Genomic DNA, 17,829 nt, shown 5'->3' with positions numbered 1-17,829 from the left:
ACGTATTAGAAAAAATATAATGAACAAACCAAGCCTGGGACTTCATAGTTATTCTTGTTTAGGAATTTTTTTTTTTAAGTGAATTTCTGGCCAGGTGCAGTGGCTCATGCCTGTAAACCCAACACTTTGGGAGGCTGAGGCCGGCAGATCATTTGAGGTCAGGAGTTTGAGACCAGCCTGGCCAACATGGTGAAAACCCATCTCTACTAAAAATACAAAAATTAGCCGGGTATGGTGATGGGCACCTGTAATCCCAGTTACTTGGGAGGCTGAGGCAGGAGAATCGCTTGAACCTGGGAGGTGGAGATTGCAGTGAGCCGAGATCACGCCACTCAACTCCAGCCTGGACAATACAGCAAGACTCAGTCTAAAGAAAAAAAAGTGAATTGCTTTAAATAATAAATAATAAATTCAGATGGAGTGTAGACATGATTAAAGTTGTGGAGGTGGCCTCTATGTGCTTGAGATTTAGGGAACTGTTCCCTACCTTATATTATAGATGCTATTCCTCTTATTTATAACAATGTTAAGATTTCATCAATTTTAGTAGCGATTCATCCTGTGCAATGTATTAATACAAGGAAAAGGTAAGTAAAAGTTATTTCATGAATATTTTCCTCAACAGCATTTGTCTTTCTTACTTTTAAAAATTACTTTTCCATTTCCCACACCAATGTAACTGAACAGTATTCATTGTATACCAAAAGTATTTCCCTTAATCCAACATTATGACTTACTACAAATAGAAATGAGGCATTTTTATAATCCTTTATAAAAACTTGGAAGCCATCTTAAAATGTTTCACAGAAATTGCAAATACAGTATTTTGAATAGGGTTTTCAAATGTTTACTGGGGATTCGGAGCACAAATCTCCTTTTGAAGAAGAGAAATGTGAACATTAAAGACTCTTATTGTCCAGTGTGGATGAAAACAGAAACATAATTCACAATTTGTTGCGGACAAGGAGCCTGGCAGAGAGAACGTTTCCATGGTCTTACAAGGGTATTACCCACCTACCCTACTAGCATTTTTTTTCACTGTGCTGACAAGAAAGGAAAAATACTCACAACCAGGTTGCTAAACTAAGAGCTTTAATTAATGAGACTCCAGAAAGGGCCCTAGCAAGATAAAAATTTGATTGCACTGTGTTCTCTGACCTCAACTGCAGGTTCTCTGACTTCTCTTTTGTGTTTGTTTGTAGACCTTCAGTGTAAAGATATAAGGGCTCTCTGAGATGGCAAGCTGTTTTGCAAAGAAGCCTCTTCACACATCTGGAATATAACCTCTTAAACCTAACCCAGGTTTATGTTAACACCATGGCTCATAAACCATGCTTAGACTGCATGGAACCATAAACATGTTGAATGTAGGAAACACGGTTAGTTTATAAATTGGGCCTGCTATTAAGTTCTGAGGTCATTAGTTTTTTTTTTTTTTTTTTTGGTCCTTTCTTTTTATTTTTCCAAACTATACGTGCTTTGGAAATCTAAGGGGTGGGTAAGAAAACAGTTTAGTCTGTTTTTTTTCCATGGTTGCTTCCACCAAGATGCCTCTGGCCTTTTCTCATCCAAATGCAACATAAAGCTCTTTCTCGCATATCACCACCATGACTACCACACAAAGCCAAGATGTCTCCATTTTTAAATTTTTTGCTTCACAGACTTACTACTAAACTCAGGGGTGATGGGGGAGGTGGCAACATGAGGCCCAGAATCATGCATCTCTGTGTGATATTGGGTAAGTTACTTCACCTCGCTGAGATGTTTATGGGTCTATGAAAGGAATGATCTGCATCATTTGCTCACTAGATCCCCCTTTACATCTAAGCCATGATAATACTCCAAATAAGATGATAGGATTTTATACAGGCGTGCCTGTGTATTGACCTTTTTGAGTTGGAGTCTTGCACTGTTGCCCAGGCTGGAGTGCAGTGGCATGATCTTGGCTCACTGCAAGCTCCGCTTCCCGGGTTCATGCCATTCTCCTGCCTCAGCCTCCCGAGTAGCTGGGACTACAGGCGCCTGCCACCATGCCCGGCTAATTTTTTGTATTTTTAGTAGAGACGGGGTTTCACCATGTTAGCCAGGATAGTCTCGATCTCCTGACCTCATGATCTGCCCGCCTCGGCCTCCCAAAGTGCTGGGATTACAGGTGTGAGCCACCACACCCGGCTGCATATTGACGTTTTGATCAATCACAGACAGCACATATGACACTGGTTCCATAGGATTGGAACACATTTTTACAGTATCTTTTCTATGTTTAGCTATTTTTTTTGTTTTGCTTGAGACGGAGTCTCACTCTGTTGCCCAGGCTGGAGTGAAATGCTACAATCGCAGCTCACTACAACCTCTGCCTCCTGGGTTCAAGCAATTCTCCTGCCTCCTGCCTCAGCCTCCTGAGTAGCTAGGATTACAGACACCTGCCACCATGACTGGCTAATTTTTGTATTTTTAGTAGAGACGGGGTTTCACCATGTTGGCCAGGCTGGTCTTGAACTCCTTACCTCAGGTGATCTGCCTGCCTCAGCCTCCCAAAATATATATATATATATATATATATATATATATATATATATATTTTTAATCCCATCCTAAAGAAAAGCTAGTACACAAATGCTTACCACTGTGTTACAGTTACCTTCAGTATTCAGTACTACTCTACATGCTGTACAGGTTTGTAGCCTAGGGGCAACAGACTGTATCATATAAACTAGGTGTGTAGTCGGCTCTACCATTTGGTTTGTGAGTACACCCTATGATATCTGCACAACAATGCACTCACCTAATAGTGCATTTCTCAGAAGGCATCCCCATTGTTAAGTGATGCATACCGGACTTCATGCATTTAAAAAAATGCCAGAACACTCCTTACTTAGTGCATAGACTTTATCAAATGTTGAATAAAAACAGAAACAAAAAGGAGACAATCCTACAATGAAAAGGAGACACTCAGGTCCACCCTAGTGATTCCTTGTATGTGGAGGAGGTAAGTGGGACATGGACAGTTCTAAAATATAGTACGTATATACCCGACAACCACAGTGTTTTGCATTTCTTTATCAGTGAAAAACAAACTGATATCTGAAGTGTATAAACAGTTCCCTAGTAGTCTATTTGAGAAAAAGTATCAAATGTGCATCAATATGTTAAAACTGACAAATACAAGAAAAGCATTCAGCTAGAGAAAATTCACAGCATTTTATTCAAGTTAATCAATTTCATTCAATAATCTGCCATATTGTTCCCAGCACCACTATTACTGTTATTATTTCTCTTTGAGGAAGACCAGGTATTAAGAAATCTGGTTTGAATTTCCATGATGCCTAACTCTATGGTTAAAAATCCTTTTCCTTACCAAAAAGGAACTTCTTAATCACCAGAGAAACAGAGGGAAGACTGAGATATGTTTGCAGAAATTTATCTCTACCAGAGACAATTCATAGTTCATAATCTTTCAGGGTTGTGCTTTACTTGGGGGCTCCGTTTTCGGGAGCGGGTTGTTTCCCATAAATGTTTGCTTAATACAAATAATTTGCCCCACTGTACCACAGAAGGGAAATGAGGGCTAGTGTCCCCAGAAAGCAAGCAGGCAGTCCTCCAGGGAAGAAGCCCTAATGGCTCCTAGTGGTGACAGAGTCATTCTGCCTCCCCAGCCTGTGAGCAATAATAAAGTATAACTAAGTGAACAGGAGAGGTAATAACTAGCCAGATAACCCATGGGCTAGAATCTCTAAACAGAAATGCTTGTGTTTTGAATAAATCAGAGCTGGAAAGACACACTTTTGGAGAAGTGATTGAGAATAGAAAGGTATGAAAAAGATAAAGGTTTCTCACCAACGAAACCACAAAAAAGGTGGTACCAGTCAAAGGTAGACTTGGGCTTTTATTTTGGGGTGAGGGTACCCCAAATGGGTTGTGCCATTTTCACATAAAAATTGGAATGATAATGAACAAGTGAAAGTGAAATCAGTTTCCCTCCTTTGTTCAATAAACATGGTTAGAGCACCTGTGTGCAAGATAGTGGGACAGGTGCTGAGGGGAAAGGTAAAGCTGTTTAAGCTGTGGCCCTGAGCTGAAGGAGCAATCTAGCAGTGCCATCAGGCCCTGCACACTGCAGAGCACAGTGTCCCAGGGGCCAGGTGGAGGGAAGGATCACTTCCGGCTGCAGCATCAGGGAAGGCACTCTGCAGTCTCCCCTCCAGGTTCTCAGCGTGCCTCTATGCCTGTGTGACTGCTCAGCCTGCCCCATTCCAGGCACTTGCTCATCTTCCTTATCTTTCTCTGTAGCATGAGAAATGGAAGTTTGAGAGGATAGGATCCTACCTCACAGGTACCTAATAAATGTGTGTGGAATTGACATATAGTGGAAGTGTCACTTTATCTTAGTGCAGCAAGGTGGAAAGAGCTTTGGAAAGGAGAGGAAAGATGGTGGTTGTGAGGGTAAGGTGTTTTCATCAGAAGGCGGGAGCAAGGGTATACAAACCAAAAAGTCAGTTTAGTATGTGGCTTAGCTCAGAGCACACGAGGGTACCAACACAGCCAAAGACTGTAAGAAGGTAGCTGAAGTCCTCTGCCAAATAGGATTGAAAAGCTAAAATCTTTCTCTGTTTCTTTCTTAAGTAACAACTGGTCTATTCAAGCTCAACCAGAGCATATAAGAGAAAAAACTGACTAACGAGGGGGTCTTAAAGAGCTTTGAAGGACAGTTTCTAGAAAGTAGAAAGATCACTGAGTAAATTACTGCACCTCCTCTACCCCACAAAAAAAAGGGTGAGGATGAATGTAAAAGTGTAGAGCAAGCTTTCAGACAACTTCAAGTTTGTTTTTGGCGCTTCCGTTTGTAAGCAATCAAGATGGTGAGAGACGCTATCCCAAAGAAGAAAGTCTGTAGGAACCAGAGTAGCTGAGCCCGACCACTTGTGATGCCTTTATGCCTAAAACAGAAAAAACAAAATTTAAACACGAGATGTTAATCTTACAGTTTCATGGGAGTTATTGTCTTCTATATATATATTTTTTAAATTATACCTTCCACTACTTTCATTGGGTTTATTTTGCTGCTTTTCTCTGGCTTATCTTGGATGGTTCATTTATTTTTCATCTTTCTTGTTTTCTAACAAATGTATTTTGGATGGTAAACTATTCCCTGAGAACTAGTCTGGCTACTGTCTAGGGCACAGTATTATAAGACTGTTTCTCATGTGATTCTGATGAGCGGATGGAGTAAAAAGCACTGGTATGGTTTCAGAGCAAATGTTTTGCAAATAGACCAGATATAAATCCTAGCGTGGCTACCTACCAGCTGTGACCTGGGCAAATCACTCAGAATCTCTCAGAATCAGTTTTCTCATCTGAAAAACAGGAACAGCAGTAGCTATCTCACTGAGTCAGTTGAGATGATTTATGGGATAATACACACAACATGCTCAGGAAGGAGCCTGGCACACAGTCATGATAAACACCTGCTTATATTGTCATTCAAATTCAACTGCCTAAAATGAAGTGCAAAAAAAAGATGACCCAATGGAAGGGAATGGCTTGCTACAGTCTCATCTGTACATAAATAAGTCTCACTTGGATGACTTTTATTTAAAACAAACTTTAAAAACAATATATGTAAAAGCAATATAATTTTCTACAGTAACAGATTAAAACAGAAAGATCATATGAATATCTTAATAAATGCAGAAGTGGCATTTGACAAATTTCTTTTTTTTTTTTTTTTTGAGATGGAGTCTCGCTCTGTCACCCAGGCTGGAGTGCAGTGGCGCGATCTTGACTCACTGCAAGCTCTGCCTCCCGGGTTGATGCCATTCTCCTGCCTCAGCCTCCCGAGTAGCTGGGATTACAGGAGCCCGCCACCACGCCTGGCTAATTTTTTGTATTTCTTTAGTAGAGATGGGGTTTCACTGTGTTAGCCAGGATGGTCTCGATCTCTTGACCTCGTGATCCACCCACCTCGGCCTCCCAAAGTGCTGGTATTACAGGCGTGAGCCACCACGCCCGGCTGCATTTGACAAATTTCAACATCCATTCTTTTTCCAACCCCCCCAGAGATGGGGTCTCACTCTGTCACCTACAGTGGAGTGTACTGGTACAATTATAGCTCACTGCAGCCTCAAACTCCTGGGCTAAAGCTATCCTCCCACCTTAGCTTCCCAAGTAGCTGGGATCATCACAGGCACGCACCACCATGCCTGGCTAGGTTTTTTGTTTGTTTTTTGTAGAGACAGTGTCTTGCTTTGTTGCCCAGGCTGGTCTTGAACTCCTGGCTTCAACTGATTCTCCCACCTCAGCCTCCCGAAGTGCTGGGATTACAGGTGTGAGCCACCTGCATCCACATCCAACATCCATTTTTAATAAAACTTCTCAGCAAAGTTAGAAATACAATGGAACTTCCTAATTTTGACACAGGAGATCTACAAAACTCTATAATAAACATGATGCAAAATGTTGAAAGTTCTCCTTTGAGGTCAAGAACAAGGCACACTTCTAGTCAGCACTGCTGGAAGTTCTAGCTAGTAGAATAAGGGAAGAAACATAAATAAAAGGTATACAGAATTGAAAGAAAGAAATAAAACTGTATTTCTGGACAGTTTTATACCTAAAAACTGAAAATAATCTATAAACTGTTACAATTAATAAATTTATTTAGCAAGATTGCTGGGTATAAGGTCAATATAAAAAATTGACTATATTCATACAAAGTACCATCAGACAATTAGAAAATGAAATGAAACAAAGGGAGCCAAGATCATGCCACTGAACTCCAGTCTGGGCGACAGAGCTAGACTCCATCTCAAAAAACAAAAACAAAAACAACAACAAAAGTTGGCCAGGTGTGGTGGCTCAGGCCTGTAATTCCAGCACTTTGGGAGACCGACGCAGGTGGATCGCTTGAGCCCAGGAGTTTGACATCAGCCTTGGCAACATAATGATACCCTATCTTTTTTTTTTTTTTTTGAGACGGAGTCTTGCTCTGTCGCCCAGGCTGGAGTGCAGTGGCATGATCTCAGCTAACTGCAAGCTCCGGGGCCTCCCGGGTTCATGCCATTCTCCTGCCTCAGCCTCCTGGAGACCCTCCATCTTTTTTTAAAAAAAAGTCATTTATAATAACATCTCAAAGTAGAAGTTGCTGGAAATTAATGTAACAACAATGTGTAAAACCTCTTAAAAATTATATATATATTAAAGGAGATCTAAATAAATGGAAACAGATCATTTCATCATTTAGAAGACTCAATAATAGAAATATTTGATGCTTTCCTGACCTTAAGGAAAAAAAAAAGAAAAAAAACATAATGGAAATATGCCAATATTCTCCAAATTATTTCACATGGTCAATCCAATGAAAATCTCAACATCTTTATTTTTTGTTTTTGTGGCACAAGACAATGCACAGAATATGCAAAGGTGTAGGCAAAGGCAATCCTATTGAACAAGATGAGAGGAGATGCTTTGTCAGATAACAATGATTATAAAGCTGCTGCTATTAAGACAGTGTTGTGTTAGCCCAAGGATAAACAGGCCAATGGAACAGAATAGAGTGTTCAGAAATAGATCCACACATATCAGTATGTATGATATAAGATAGGGCACATCAGTGAAGACTGAATGTCTCAATAAGTAGCTCTGGGATAACGGCATCCAGATGGAAAAGGTAAAGATCTTAAAAAAAAATAAGATCTAAGTAGACTGAAAACTTAAATGTGAAAGAAAAAAATTCTAAAACTGTTAGAAGATACTGTAAAAGAATATAACTTTAATATCAATAAATTAATAAAACTGACTACATTGATAAACTTCTGTTTATCAAAAGGCCCAACAGAATAAAAAGACCGTGAGAAAGGATATTTGCAAGACACCTAAAGGACAAAGTACTCAAGATCATAAAAAACAAGGAGTGCCTATAAACAGGTAAGAATAGGACAGACAGCCCATTTGAAGAGTATTGGTGAGATTGTGGGGAAATGGGCACTATCATATATTTATGTTAGAAGAATAAATTAGTTCCATACTTTTGAAGGCAATATGGCAATACATATCATTTAATTTAAAGTAGTCATTCGTTTTATTTTTAGGCAGAGTCTTGCTCTGTTGCCCAGGCTAGAGTGCAGTGGTGTGATCTCAGCTCACTGCAACCTCCGCCTCCCAGATTCAAGCTATTCTCTTACCTCAGCCTCCTGAGTAGCTGGGATTACAGGTGCCCGCTACCACGCCCTGCTAATTTTTTTTTTTTTTTGTATTTTTAGTGGAGACAGGGTTTCACCATGTTGGCCAGGCTGGTATCGCACTCCTAACTTCAGGTGATCCACCAGCCTCAGCCTCTCAAAGTGCTGGAATTACAGGTGTGAGCCACCACACCCAGCCAAAAGTATTCATTCTTTAATCTTCAAATTCCAGATCTTGGAATTTTTTTCTAAGGGAACAAATACCAAAGTGGGACAAATGCAAGAAATTAATGTTCACTGCCATATTGCTTGTAATAGTAAAAAAGTAGAGACTTAAAAGTCCATCAGAAGAAAGATTTTTTAAATACGTTAAGGCACATCTATGTAACAGAATACTATGCACTGTTATTAATGGATGGGTAAGTTTATATGTATAGACATAGACAAATAGGGATATGTTAGCCCAGTACAGTGGCACACCTGTAGTCCCAGTTACTTGGGAGGCTGAGGCAGGAGGATCACTTGAGCACAGGTGCTCAAGGCCAGCCTGGGCAATAGAGTGAGACCCATCTCTTAAAAAACAAAATAAAATTTAAAACAGGCATATATAACAATGGAAACCAATTATGAAAGAGATTATATCTATATGTATATATATATAATTGGATTATAGGCATCAGCCACCATGCCCAGCAACTTTCAATTTTTTTTTTTTTTTTGAAATGGAGTCTTGCTGTGTTGCCCAGGCTGGAGTGCAGTCGTGCGATCTCGGCTCACTGCAACCTCCACCTCCTGGGTTCAAGTGATTCTCCTGCCTCAGCCTCCTGAGTAGCTGGGACTACAGGTGCCCGCCACCATGCCCGGCTAATTTTTTGTATTTTAGTAGAGACGGGGTTTCACCATATTGGCCAGGCTGGTCTCAAACTCCTTACCTGGTGATCCGTCCGCCTTGGCCTCCCAAAGTGCTGAGATTACAGGCGTGAGCCACCGCGCCCAGCCAACTTTCAATTTTATTAGCTGAGTTTTTAGCACAACATTATTAACTTTTAAAAACAAACATGTTTGTTTTGAAATAGGCAAAACAACAAAAATATTTTGTTTTGGAAAGTAAATTTATATGATCCTGTAAATGTGTATGATATTTAGTAAAGAAAAATAAAGATGAGTTGCCATCTTGGAAGAGCAGGCTCACTGAACAGCAGTGCTTGTTTCCTCCTCCTTCAGAAGGGTCACAGTTGGTGGCTAGGTAACCCGGAGAAGGGTTTTCCTGGGGTCATCATAACTTGTTCTCATTCACATACCTTTATCCGTATTCTTAGCTCATTTTGCCTATTTAAAAGACAAAAGTCTTTTAAGAAAGTTTTCTTAATTTAATTCACATTTCCCTTAATGATTCCACCAAGACCCAAGCAGATGCAAAAATCTCTTTGTGAGTACACTTTTTCCTGCCTTAAGAAAAAATGTTACCTCTGATACTTGAAAAATTTCACAATTTACCTGTTTTGGTCATTCGAGGCTGCCCTGTCACAGAGTACTTCTACTTGTCAAGAACTTCTTTTCTGTTTCTACACTGTAATAAAATCTACTCTACATACAAATTTTTGCAAAACCTTAAAAACCTTTCTAAGGGCTGCAGAGCCAACTGGGGTATGCAAGCAGCAAGAATCTAATTTCTGAACTAAGAGAATAAGCCATATATTCTGAATGGAACTCCAGACTATAAAAAGGTAACAATGAACATGAATATTGGCCTCAAAGAGATACTATTTTATTTATCCCTAAGGAAAAAACATTCTATTTTTCTTGTTAAAGTATTGTTATGTAACAAGAATTACAGCACCTTTCAAAGAAGAGTTGAACCTTACTTTGTAATCAAATAAATACAGGTTAAAATGGCTAGATACCCTTTTTAATCTACCAAAATAGCAAAAGGTTTTTTGCCCCCTCACCTCACCAAAAATGGCACTTTCTTTTTCTTGTCTTTTTTTTTTTTGAGACAGAGTCTCACTTTGTCGCCCAGGCTAAAGTGTAGTGGTACGATCTCAGCTCACCGCAACCTCCGCCTCCCAGGTCCAAGCGATTCTCCTGCCTCAGCCTCCTGAGTAGCTGGGGTAACAGGTATGTGCCACCACACCCAGCTAATTTTTTTTTTCATATTTTTAGTAGAGACAGAGTTTCAACCATGTTGGGCACGCTGGTCTCGAACTCCTGACCTCAGGTGATCCGCCTGCCTCAGCCTCCCCAAGTGCTGAGATTACAGGCATGAGCCACCGTACCCAACTCATCTCATAATTCAAAAGGAATATTTATTCTGATTCATAGTGACTAATGATACATTCTAACATGTTAGACCATAAATGATTTCAAGAACATAAGAGTAACCTAACCTCTATGCCTGTTCTCCCTCTGCCCTTCAAAAAAATTGTATATTAAATTTGAGGGCCGGGTGCGGTGGCTCACGTCTGTAATCCCAGCACTTTGGGAAACCGAGGTGGGCGGATTACGAGGTCAAGAGATCAAGACCATCCTGGCCAACATGGTGAAACTCTGTCTCTACTAAAAATACAAAAAGTAGGCTTGGTGGCGGGCGCCTGTAATCTCAGCTACTTGGGAGGCTGAGGCCAGACAATCGCTTGAACCAGGGAGGCAGAGGTTGCAGTGAGCTGAGATTGCACCACTGCACTCCAGCCTGGCGACAGAGCGAAACTCCGTCTCAAAAAAGAAAAAAATAAATAAAAATAAAAATAAAAATTTTTGTATTTTGGTTTTCATCAGATACTCCAAATGCCAACAACAAAATAGGTGTCACGCACTCCTACATTCCAAGTTGAGGGGCTGGACCGGACACTTCCAATCTGAGATTCTACTGCGATGCTGCAGAGGCCATTGGAAAGAGGTCCTAGTGGGCTGTGGCATTTCCCACAAGTCAAGCCCAGAGAATGGCCTCAACAGAACCATTTGTAGAGCTTGACATGAGTCTCTGGAATTTGGGGAAGGGTTTAATATCTGATTCCAAAGAGTAAACACTGTTTGGTCTGCTTGCTGGGAGAGAAGGAAGCACCGCCACACTGATAACTGCATGCACTTGTAGATTATCCCACTGGAGGGATACGGAAGTTGTTTACTGTGAGCCATACAGATCCTGGAGAAGGCACTGAACATGAGTAGGTTTAAAAGGGACCCTGTACCACAGACCCACCTGAAGGACGGAAGTGATCTCAATAAAAGGGTAATTCTCCCTAGAACACAGACTCTGAGGGTGAAACTGCAAGTGGCATGCTGGAGGGGGTGTCTGAATGAACCATCAAGGAAACTGCAGAAGGGAGATCCCTGGTGATGAGTAGTGTCTCAAAAATCTACCACATCCCCTCTAGAGAGAAAGAGCCAATACTGGATATGCAATATACACAGTACCTAGCTGCCTGATCACAAGGCAGCAGCTGTTTATTGTTTTTTTTTAACTTTTATTTTTTTTGAGAAAGGGTCTTGCTCTGTCACCCAGGCTAGAGTGCAGTGGTGCGATCTCGGCTCACTGCAGCCTCTGCCTCCCGGATTCAAGCGATTCTCGTGCCTCAGCCTCCTGAGCAGCTGGGACTGCAGGCACGCACCACCATGCCTGGCTTTTTTAGTATTTTTTGTATTTTTAGTAGAGATGGGGTTTTGTCATGTTGGCCAGGATGGTTTCAAACTCCTGGTCTCAAATGATCTGCCCACCTTGGCCTCCTAAAGTGCTAGGATTATAGGTGTAAGCCACTGCACCTGGCCAGCAGCAGCTATTTAAGGCTGAGCCTTGTTCTCCCTAACTATTCCCACTATCCCAAGGGACCACAAGCAGCGATTATTAGTGAATAGAGGAGAAGGTGAAGTGCAAGAGAAGATATCAACTGCACCCTTCTCCCCACTGCAGGCTCCTGAGCCCCAGCTGGATGAAAACAGACATTTTGAATTAGAAGAAAGTTTATAGTTTTAACAATAGACTGGGCTAGAATAGATAATATCAGATGGTGACTGGAAATCCTACGATCTGTTTGAAATTCCATCCAGAGATACGGTGGAAGGTGGGGAACGATCTACAAAACAAATTTACTTGGAGAGGGGTGAGAAAGAAAGAATAAAGTTACTTTCTGCTCCTCTTCATAGAAAGTCTAGCTTGTGGCCAGGCACAGTGGCTCATGCCTATAATCCCAGCACTTTGGGAGGCGAAGGCAGGCGGATCACCTGAGAGGTCAGGAGTTCGGGACTAGCATGGCCAACATGGTGAAACCCCGTCTCTAATAAAAATACAAAAATTAGCCAGGCATGGTGGTGGGCTTCTGTAATCCTAGCTACTGGGGAAGCTGAGGCAGAATCGTTTTAACCCAGGACGTAGAGATTGCAGGGAGCCAAGATTGCGCCACTGCACTCCAGCCTGGGTGACAAAGCAAGATTCCCTCTCAAAAAAAAAAAAAAAAAAAGTCTAGCTTATTTGTTTAATAAACAAGAAAACAGAGTAAGATCATTCTATTTAACATACTTAGCAGTCTCTGACATAGCAGTACCCAATCAATATTATTTTTATTATTGAAACATAGTAATAGCAATACAGTATCTTATTTTCCACTTTTAGAATAGAAAAATAATAGAGGTGATAGTATATCTTGACCAGAAATTAATTCAATTAATTATTATCTTGACCAGAAATTAATTGGAAAGAAGCAATTTGGCATTTCCATAACCATGTTTTTCATTGTACCATACTTTCTGTATATGCTTATATAAAGTACAAACATAATTTTTTCTTGTATTCTCACATAGCATTAACCTATACTAGCATCTCCTGAGTGGGGTCTGGTTTGGGGGCTTTTAACTAGCATTGCATCCTAGAATTATCTGTGGAGCTTTTAAAAAGAGCACATTCCTATCTCTGAGGCAAGACTTACCCAATCAGAATCTCTGGGTCTGGAAACCAGACGTGTGTATTTTGAAAAAGCTCCTCAGGTGGCTCAATTGTAAAACGAGGATTGTGAGTCATCGGCCTAGGTCAGTCACTTAGCTCTTTTGTAAACTAGAAGCCAGGCTCCTATTCCTAGTCTTTTGATCTAGTTGGGGCTACCCAGAAAATTTGTTAAAAAATAACAAAAGTCATCTGAATTAGATAACTAAGTAATTGGTTAACCAACATAAACAAAATGAATGCATTCATCAAACATTTACTGGGTACTGCCTCTGCTCCAGGCTCAGTATCAGGCATGGGGATTCCGCTCTACCCTGAGAATATTCTCAGCCTACAAGTGTGTGAACTATTTAAATGTGGCTGCTCTCAATTTATATTAGCTACTAAGAGAAAGGCAACAAACACCTACTTCAAAGACTTACTTGCACAATACTATGGCATACAAGGACTCTCCCACATGAATCAGCCAGGCAAGCCAATACCTGAAACCAAAAAAAAGGTTAATCTTTTTTAAGGTGATAGTTATCTGCTGATGAAATCTAACACAGCAATCTCAAAAAGAAAAGTGCCTTAAGGTGAACCGACACTACTCTTAGATACCAAAAGGCAGCTGCAGGCCTTCCAGGTTTCCCATGAGACCAGAGCTCCAGTGTCCACAGTCCACTTGTGCAGCTCTCCTTACCCATTGCACAGGAGGGTGTGATGGTGGTCCACCAAGTACTGAGTGAAGGGGCCCAGGGGCCCAAGGTTCTGATAAGGGATACTCTGAGGCCAGAAGACAACCCACTGAAAGAGAAGCAGAGACACAGAATACCTATTAGGTCACTTAAAACCTGTTTTTTGTTTTTGTTTTTGAGAAAGGCTGTGAAACAGTAAAAAAATTACCACAGACCGAAGAAACTCTGAACAGTCATTTGGGTCTCCATTCTTGGCTTCTATTTTCTTTCTTTCTTTTTTTTTTGACAGGGTCTCACTCCGCTGCTGGGGCTGGAGTGCAGTGGCATGATCATGACTCACTGCAGCCTCCACCATCTGGGCTCAATCCATCCTCCCACCTCAGCCTCCCAAGTAGATGGGACTACACGTGTGTGCCACCATGCCCAGCTACTTTTAAAAATTGTATATAGAGATGGGGTCTCACTATGTTGCCCAGGATGGTTTCCAACTCCAGGGCTCAAGCAATTCTCCAATCTTGGCCTCCCAAAGTGCTGGGATTACAGGCATGACCTACTGTGCCAGGATGACTTCTATTTTCTAAAAGCAACTCTACTGGGAGACTTATGCTGAGGAAAGTATGTGGTTATCAGACTCAGTGCCCACGGTGGATGACTCTTAAAGTCTTTTTTTCTTCCTTTTCTTCTTTTGTTTTCTTTGTAGAGAAGGGATCTCGCTTTGTCACCCAGGCTTGAGTGCAGTGGCCTGATCACGGCTCACTGCACCCTTGACTTCCCGGGCTCAAGCGATCCTCCCAACTCAGCTTCCCCAAGTAGCTGGAATACAGGCATGGCTACCACGACTGACTAATTTATTTATTTATTTATTTATTTTAGATGGAGTTTCACTCTGTCGCTTAGGCTGGAGTGCAGTGGCACGATCTCGGCTCTCTGTAACCTCCGCCTCGCGGATTCAAACGACTCTCCTGTCTCAGCCTCCAGAGTAGCTGGGACTACAGGTGCATGCCACCACGCCCAGCTAATTTTTGTATTTTTAATACAGACAGAGTTTCACCATGTTGGCCAGGCTGATCTCCAACTCCTGACATCAGGTGATCCGCCCTTCTCGGCTTCTCAAAGTGCTGGGATTACAGGTGTGAGCCACTGCCCATGGCTAATTTTGTGTGTGTGTGTGTGTGTAGAGATGAGGTTTTGCCATGTTGCCCAGGATGGTCTCGAACTCCTGGGCTCAAGCGATTTGCCCGCCTCGGCCTCCCAAAGTGCTGGGATTACAGGGGTGAACCACCATGCCTGGCTGACTCCTATTAATACATTCCACCAAAACCATTATTTTATAAAAGATATTAGCAAATTTTGAGTTTATGTGCTTTGGCTAGTTTCTTTACTGCAGAAACTGGCTCCAGCCAAACCTCTGTTTAATTTAGAATTCCTTTCTCGGCTTTCCCTTTTTGTACGGCTAAAACTGAGAATGATCCACTGCATAGAGATGGAAAATAAGTGAGATAAGGTTGTGACATTTTAATAGCAACTGCTTAATCACATAAATTTTTCGTAATCTTAACTTTCAGCCTCTGTATTGTAACTTCTGTCAGCTAAGACTTTTCTGAGAATAACTCAACAGTTTCAAAATGTATTGTCCCATTCAAATCTTTGTCAAGAGCAGTACTACCTCTCTCACGATGTTGTTTCACATCTGAAAGTTAAATAATGCACAAATATCACTGCATCCTCCCAAACCAAAGGGAAAGGGGAGCATCTGCCAGCTCCACAAGATCCCAATTTGAAGTCCCCAAAGCTTTCCTCCAACTATATTCTAACTAGTCACAGACACTAAATCGTAGAACAGAAATGCACCTTTGAAAATTTTCAGTTCAACACCTCCATTGTACATATGGGGAAATCAGGACATAGGTTGTCAGATTTGACACCAACAAACAACACTGTGGACAAGACAAATCTCCAATCTCCAGGATCTATTGGTATACCCAAATAGCTTCGCCTTCCTTCAAAATTTTACCACCTTATCACTTGACGTTAGGAGTTCGAGGCCAGCCTCACCAATACCCATGTCTACTAAAAACACAAAAAAATAGCTGGGCATAGTGTAATCCCAGCTACAGGTAAAGACATGAGAATCGCTTGAACCTGGGAAGCAGAGGTTGCAGTGAGCCGAGATCGCCCCACTGCACTCCAGCCTGGGTGACAGAGCGAGACTCCGTCTCAAAAAAACACAAAACTACCACCTTAGCCCCCAACCTACTTTTCCACGCATCTTTCTCGTTATCCTTTAAACAGATTATTTCTCAGCCAAACAAACGTCGCTCTTTTTCTAGGTACAGCTTTCTTCTTGCTTCCACACCTATGTCAGAACAGTTATAGCCTCTTTATCCTCCCTTACCACTTAAATCCTACCCATCCTTTAGATTTATCCCCGTTTTCCAAACAATTCCTATTGGCTCAAACATTCTGCTTCGGAAGCCCTATTCTGACTTGGCAGGCCTATGGCAGTCTGTTAACTTGACTTTCCGCTTCGTGAGAGGCTTAGGCTCGGATAACCCGTTAGTAACCATGCAGAGGTGAGGACCCAAAGACAGGAACACTAGAAAGCAGAAACTATCCTAAGAGCCCACCGAATTTCCGCTTACATGAGTAACCGAGACAACCGTCAGATGCGCGTGCGCACAGGCCCCGTTCCCAGAGCTCCCCTCGCCCTACGAGGGCCCGGCGGGCCAAAACAGAGGCCCGCCCCGCCCCACCCCACGCCTCACCGCGAAGTAGCCCAGCCCCAGGACTGTGACCAGAGAGGGCAAGGGTCTTGCTGGACGGAAATAGGCGGTAGCCGCATTGCTGGCCTCCGACTTCACCATCCTCTTGAAAAACCCAGACACAGAGTTGGCTGGGAGCTCCCCAGCCGTCCCCGCCCCCATATAAGAAAAGCCTGGCTAGCCGGTTTCTCAGGGCCCTGGGCGCCCGCCCAAGACCCTGGCGGACCAGTATGCTTGCTCTCATTGCGGAGTCTGGTCCCCTCCCCTCCGCTCCTAGCGCGCGGGAGTCGGGATTGTGCTTGCACGACTTCCCCCGGCCCGCGGCCTGTGAGCCCAGGTCCTGGGGTGAACCGAGCGCTCGCTCGTTCGTCAGACCGTAGCGCTCCAGCGGCTGTCCTTACTGTGTAGTAGCCAAAGCTGAGGGTGATGACTGTGAACCAGAACAGACTGCCTCGCTGAAAGTAGGTCGCGCCGGCTGCCGTAGCCATGGCTGCAACACCTCCCCGGGAGCGCGCTTCAGGACACCGTCGAGCGCGAGCGCGGAGGCAGGGCCGGGGCCGGCCCGCGCTCCCTCGCCATCCCCGCAGGGAGAAGATGGTGCTGGTTGGGAAGTCCCTGAGAGCGAGTCTCCCTGTCTGGCCCCAGTACAGGGGCCTTGGAATCACACCTGGGCTCAGGTCTGGAGGGCTGGTCATCATCTTGTAGGGGAGACACTCCTGTCACTTTTCTGGGTTTAAGATAAAGATGTTCGGGCTGGCGCGGTGGCGTGTCCCTGTAATCTCAGCACGTTGGGAGGCTGAGGTAGAAAGATCCCTTGAGCCCAGGAGTTTGAGACCAGCCCGGGTAACATAGCTAGACTCTGTCTCGAATGAATGAATGAATGAATGAGGTGTTGGAATAAATTCCAGCAATTTGGGAGGCCGAGTCGGGCAGATCACTTGAGGTCAGGAGTTTGAGACCAGCGTGGTCAACATGGTGAAACCCCGTCTGTACTAAAAATACAAAAAATTTGCTGGGCGCGGTGGTGCCTGCCTGTAGTCCCAGCAACTCCAGAGGCTGAGACAAGACTCTCTTGAACCTGAGAGGTGCAGGTTGCAGTGGGCCCAGATCACGCCACTGCACTCCAGCCTGGGCAACACAGCAAGACCCTGTCTCAAAAAAAAAAAAAAAAGATGGTGTTTTACTAAGAGTCTAATTTTTGAAGTTCTCTGTGCTGTGCACCTTGAGAAATAATGCTGTCCTCATTAGTTAAGATGTTTGGAACTATACAGCACCATGGTTAT

At 42.8% G+C, this 17,829-nt stretch overlaps 1 protein-coding gene and 1 long non-coding RNA gene across 24 annotated transcripts in view; one reads left to right on the top strand and one right to left on the bottom strand.

The window, feature by feature from the left end:
• Positions 1-3,182: 3,182 nt before the first annotated feature.
• Positions 3,183-17,069, bottom strand: TMEM254 (transmembrane protein 254). 19 transcript variants are annotated; one of them, NM_001270370.2, is made up of 6 exons: positions 16,948-17,069; positions 13,790-13,893; positions 13,530-13,589; positions 9,476-9,503; positions 5,303-5,354; positions 3,183-4,937 (listed from the first exon to the last, which is right to left on the bottom strand). In NM_001270370.2, exons 1-5 carry the CDS (start codon positions 17,032-17,034, stop codon positions 5,322-5,324), a joined length of 312 nt encoding a protein of 103 aa, NP_001257299.1. In that variant the 5' UTR covers positions 17,035-17,069; the 3' UTR covers positions 3,183-4,937; positions 5,303-5,321. The 19 variants fall into 19 exon arrangements, 15 of the variants coding, with proteins under 15 accessions (NP_001257299.1, NP_001257300.1, NP_001257302.1 ...); NR_072985.1 differs by lacking the exons at positions 5,303-5,354; positions 9,476-9,503; positions 16,948-17,069 and adding exons at positions 13,993-14,094; positions 16,427-16,489; NR_072984.1 differs by lacking the exons at positions 5,303-5,354; positions 9,476-9,503; positions 16,948-17,069 and adding exons at positions 14,000-14,094; positions 16,427-16,489.
• TMEM254-AS1 (TMEM254 antisense RNA 1) overlaps positions 16,541-17,829 on the top strand; it is a 32,961-nt gene continuing 31,672 nt past the window's right edge. For all 5 annotated transcript variants that reach the window (NR_027432.1, NR_027431.3, NR_027429.1 and 2 more), the window contains exon 1: positions 16,541-17,007. This is a non-coding gene — a long non-coding RNA (TMEM254 antisense RNA 1). The remainder of the gene's footprint in view (positions 17,008-17,829) is intronic.

Source organism: Homo sapiens, chromosome 10 (genome assembly GCF_000001405.40).
Source record: "Homo sapiens chromosome 10, GRCh38.p14 Primary Assembly".
Lineage (NCBI taxonomy): Eukaryota > Metazoa > Chordata > Mammalia > Primates > Hominidae > Homo > Homo sapiens.
This window is presented reverse-complemented; position numbering and strand designations above follow the sequence as displayed.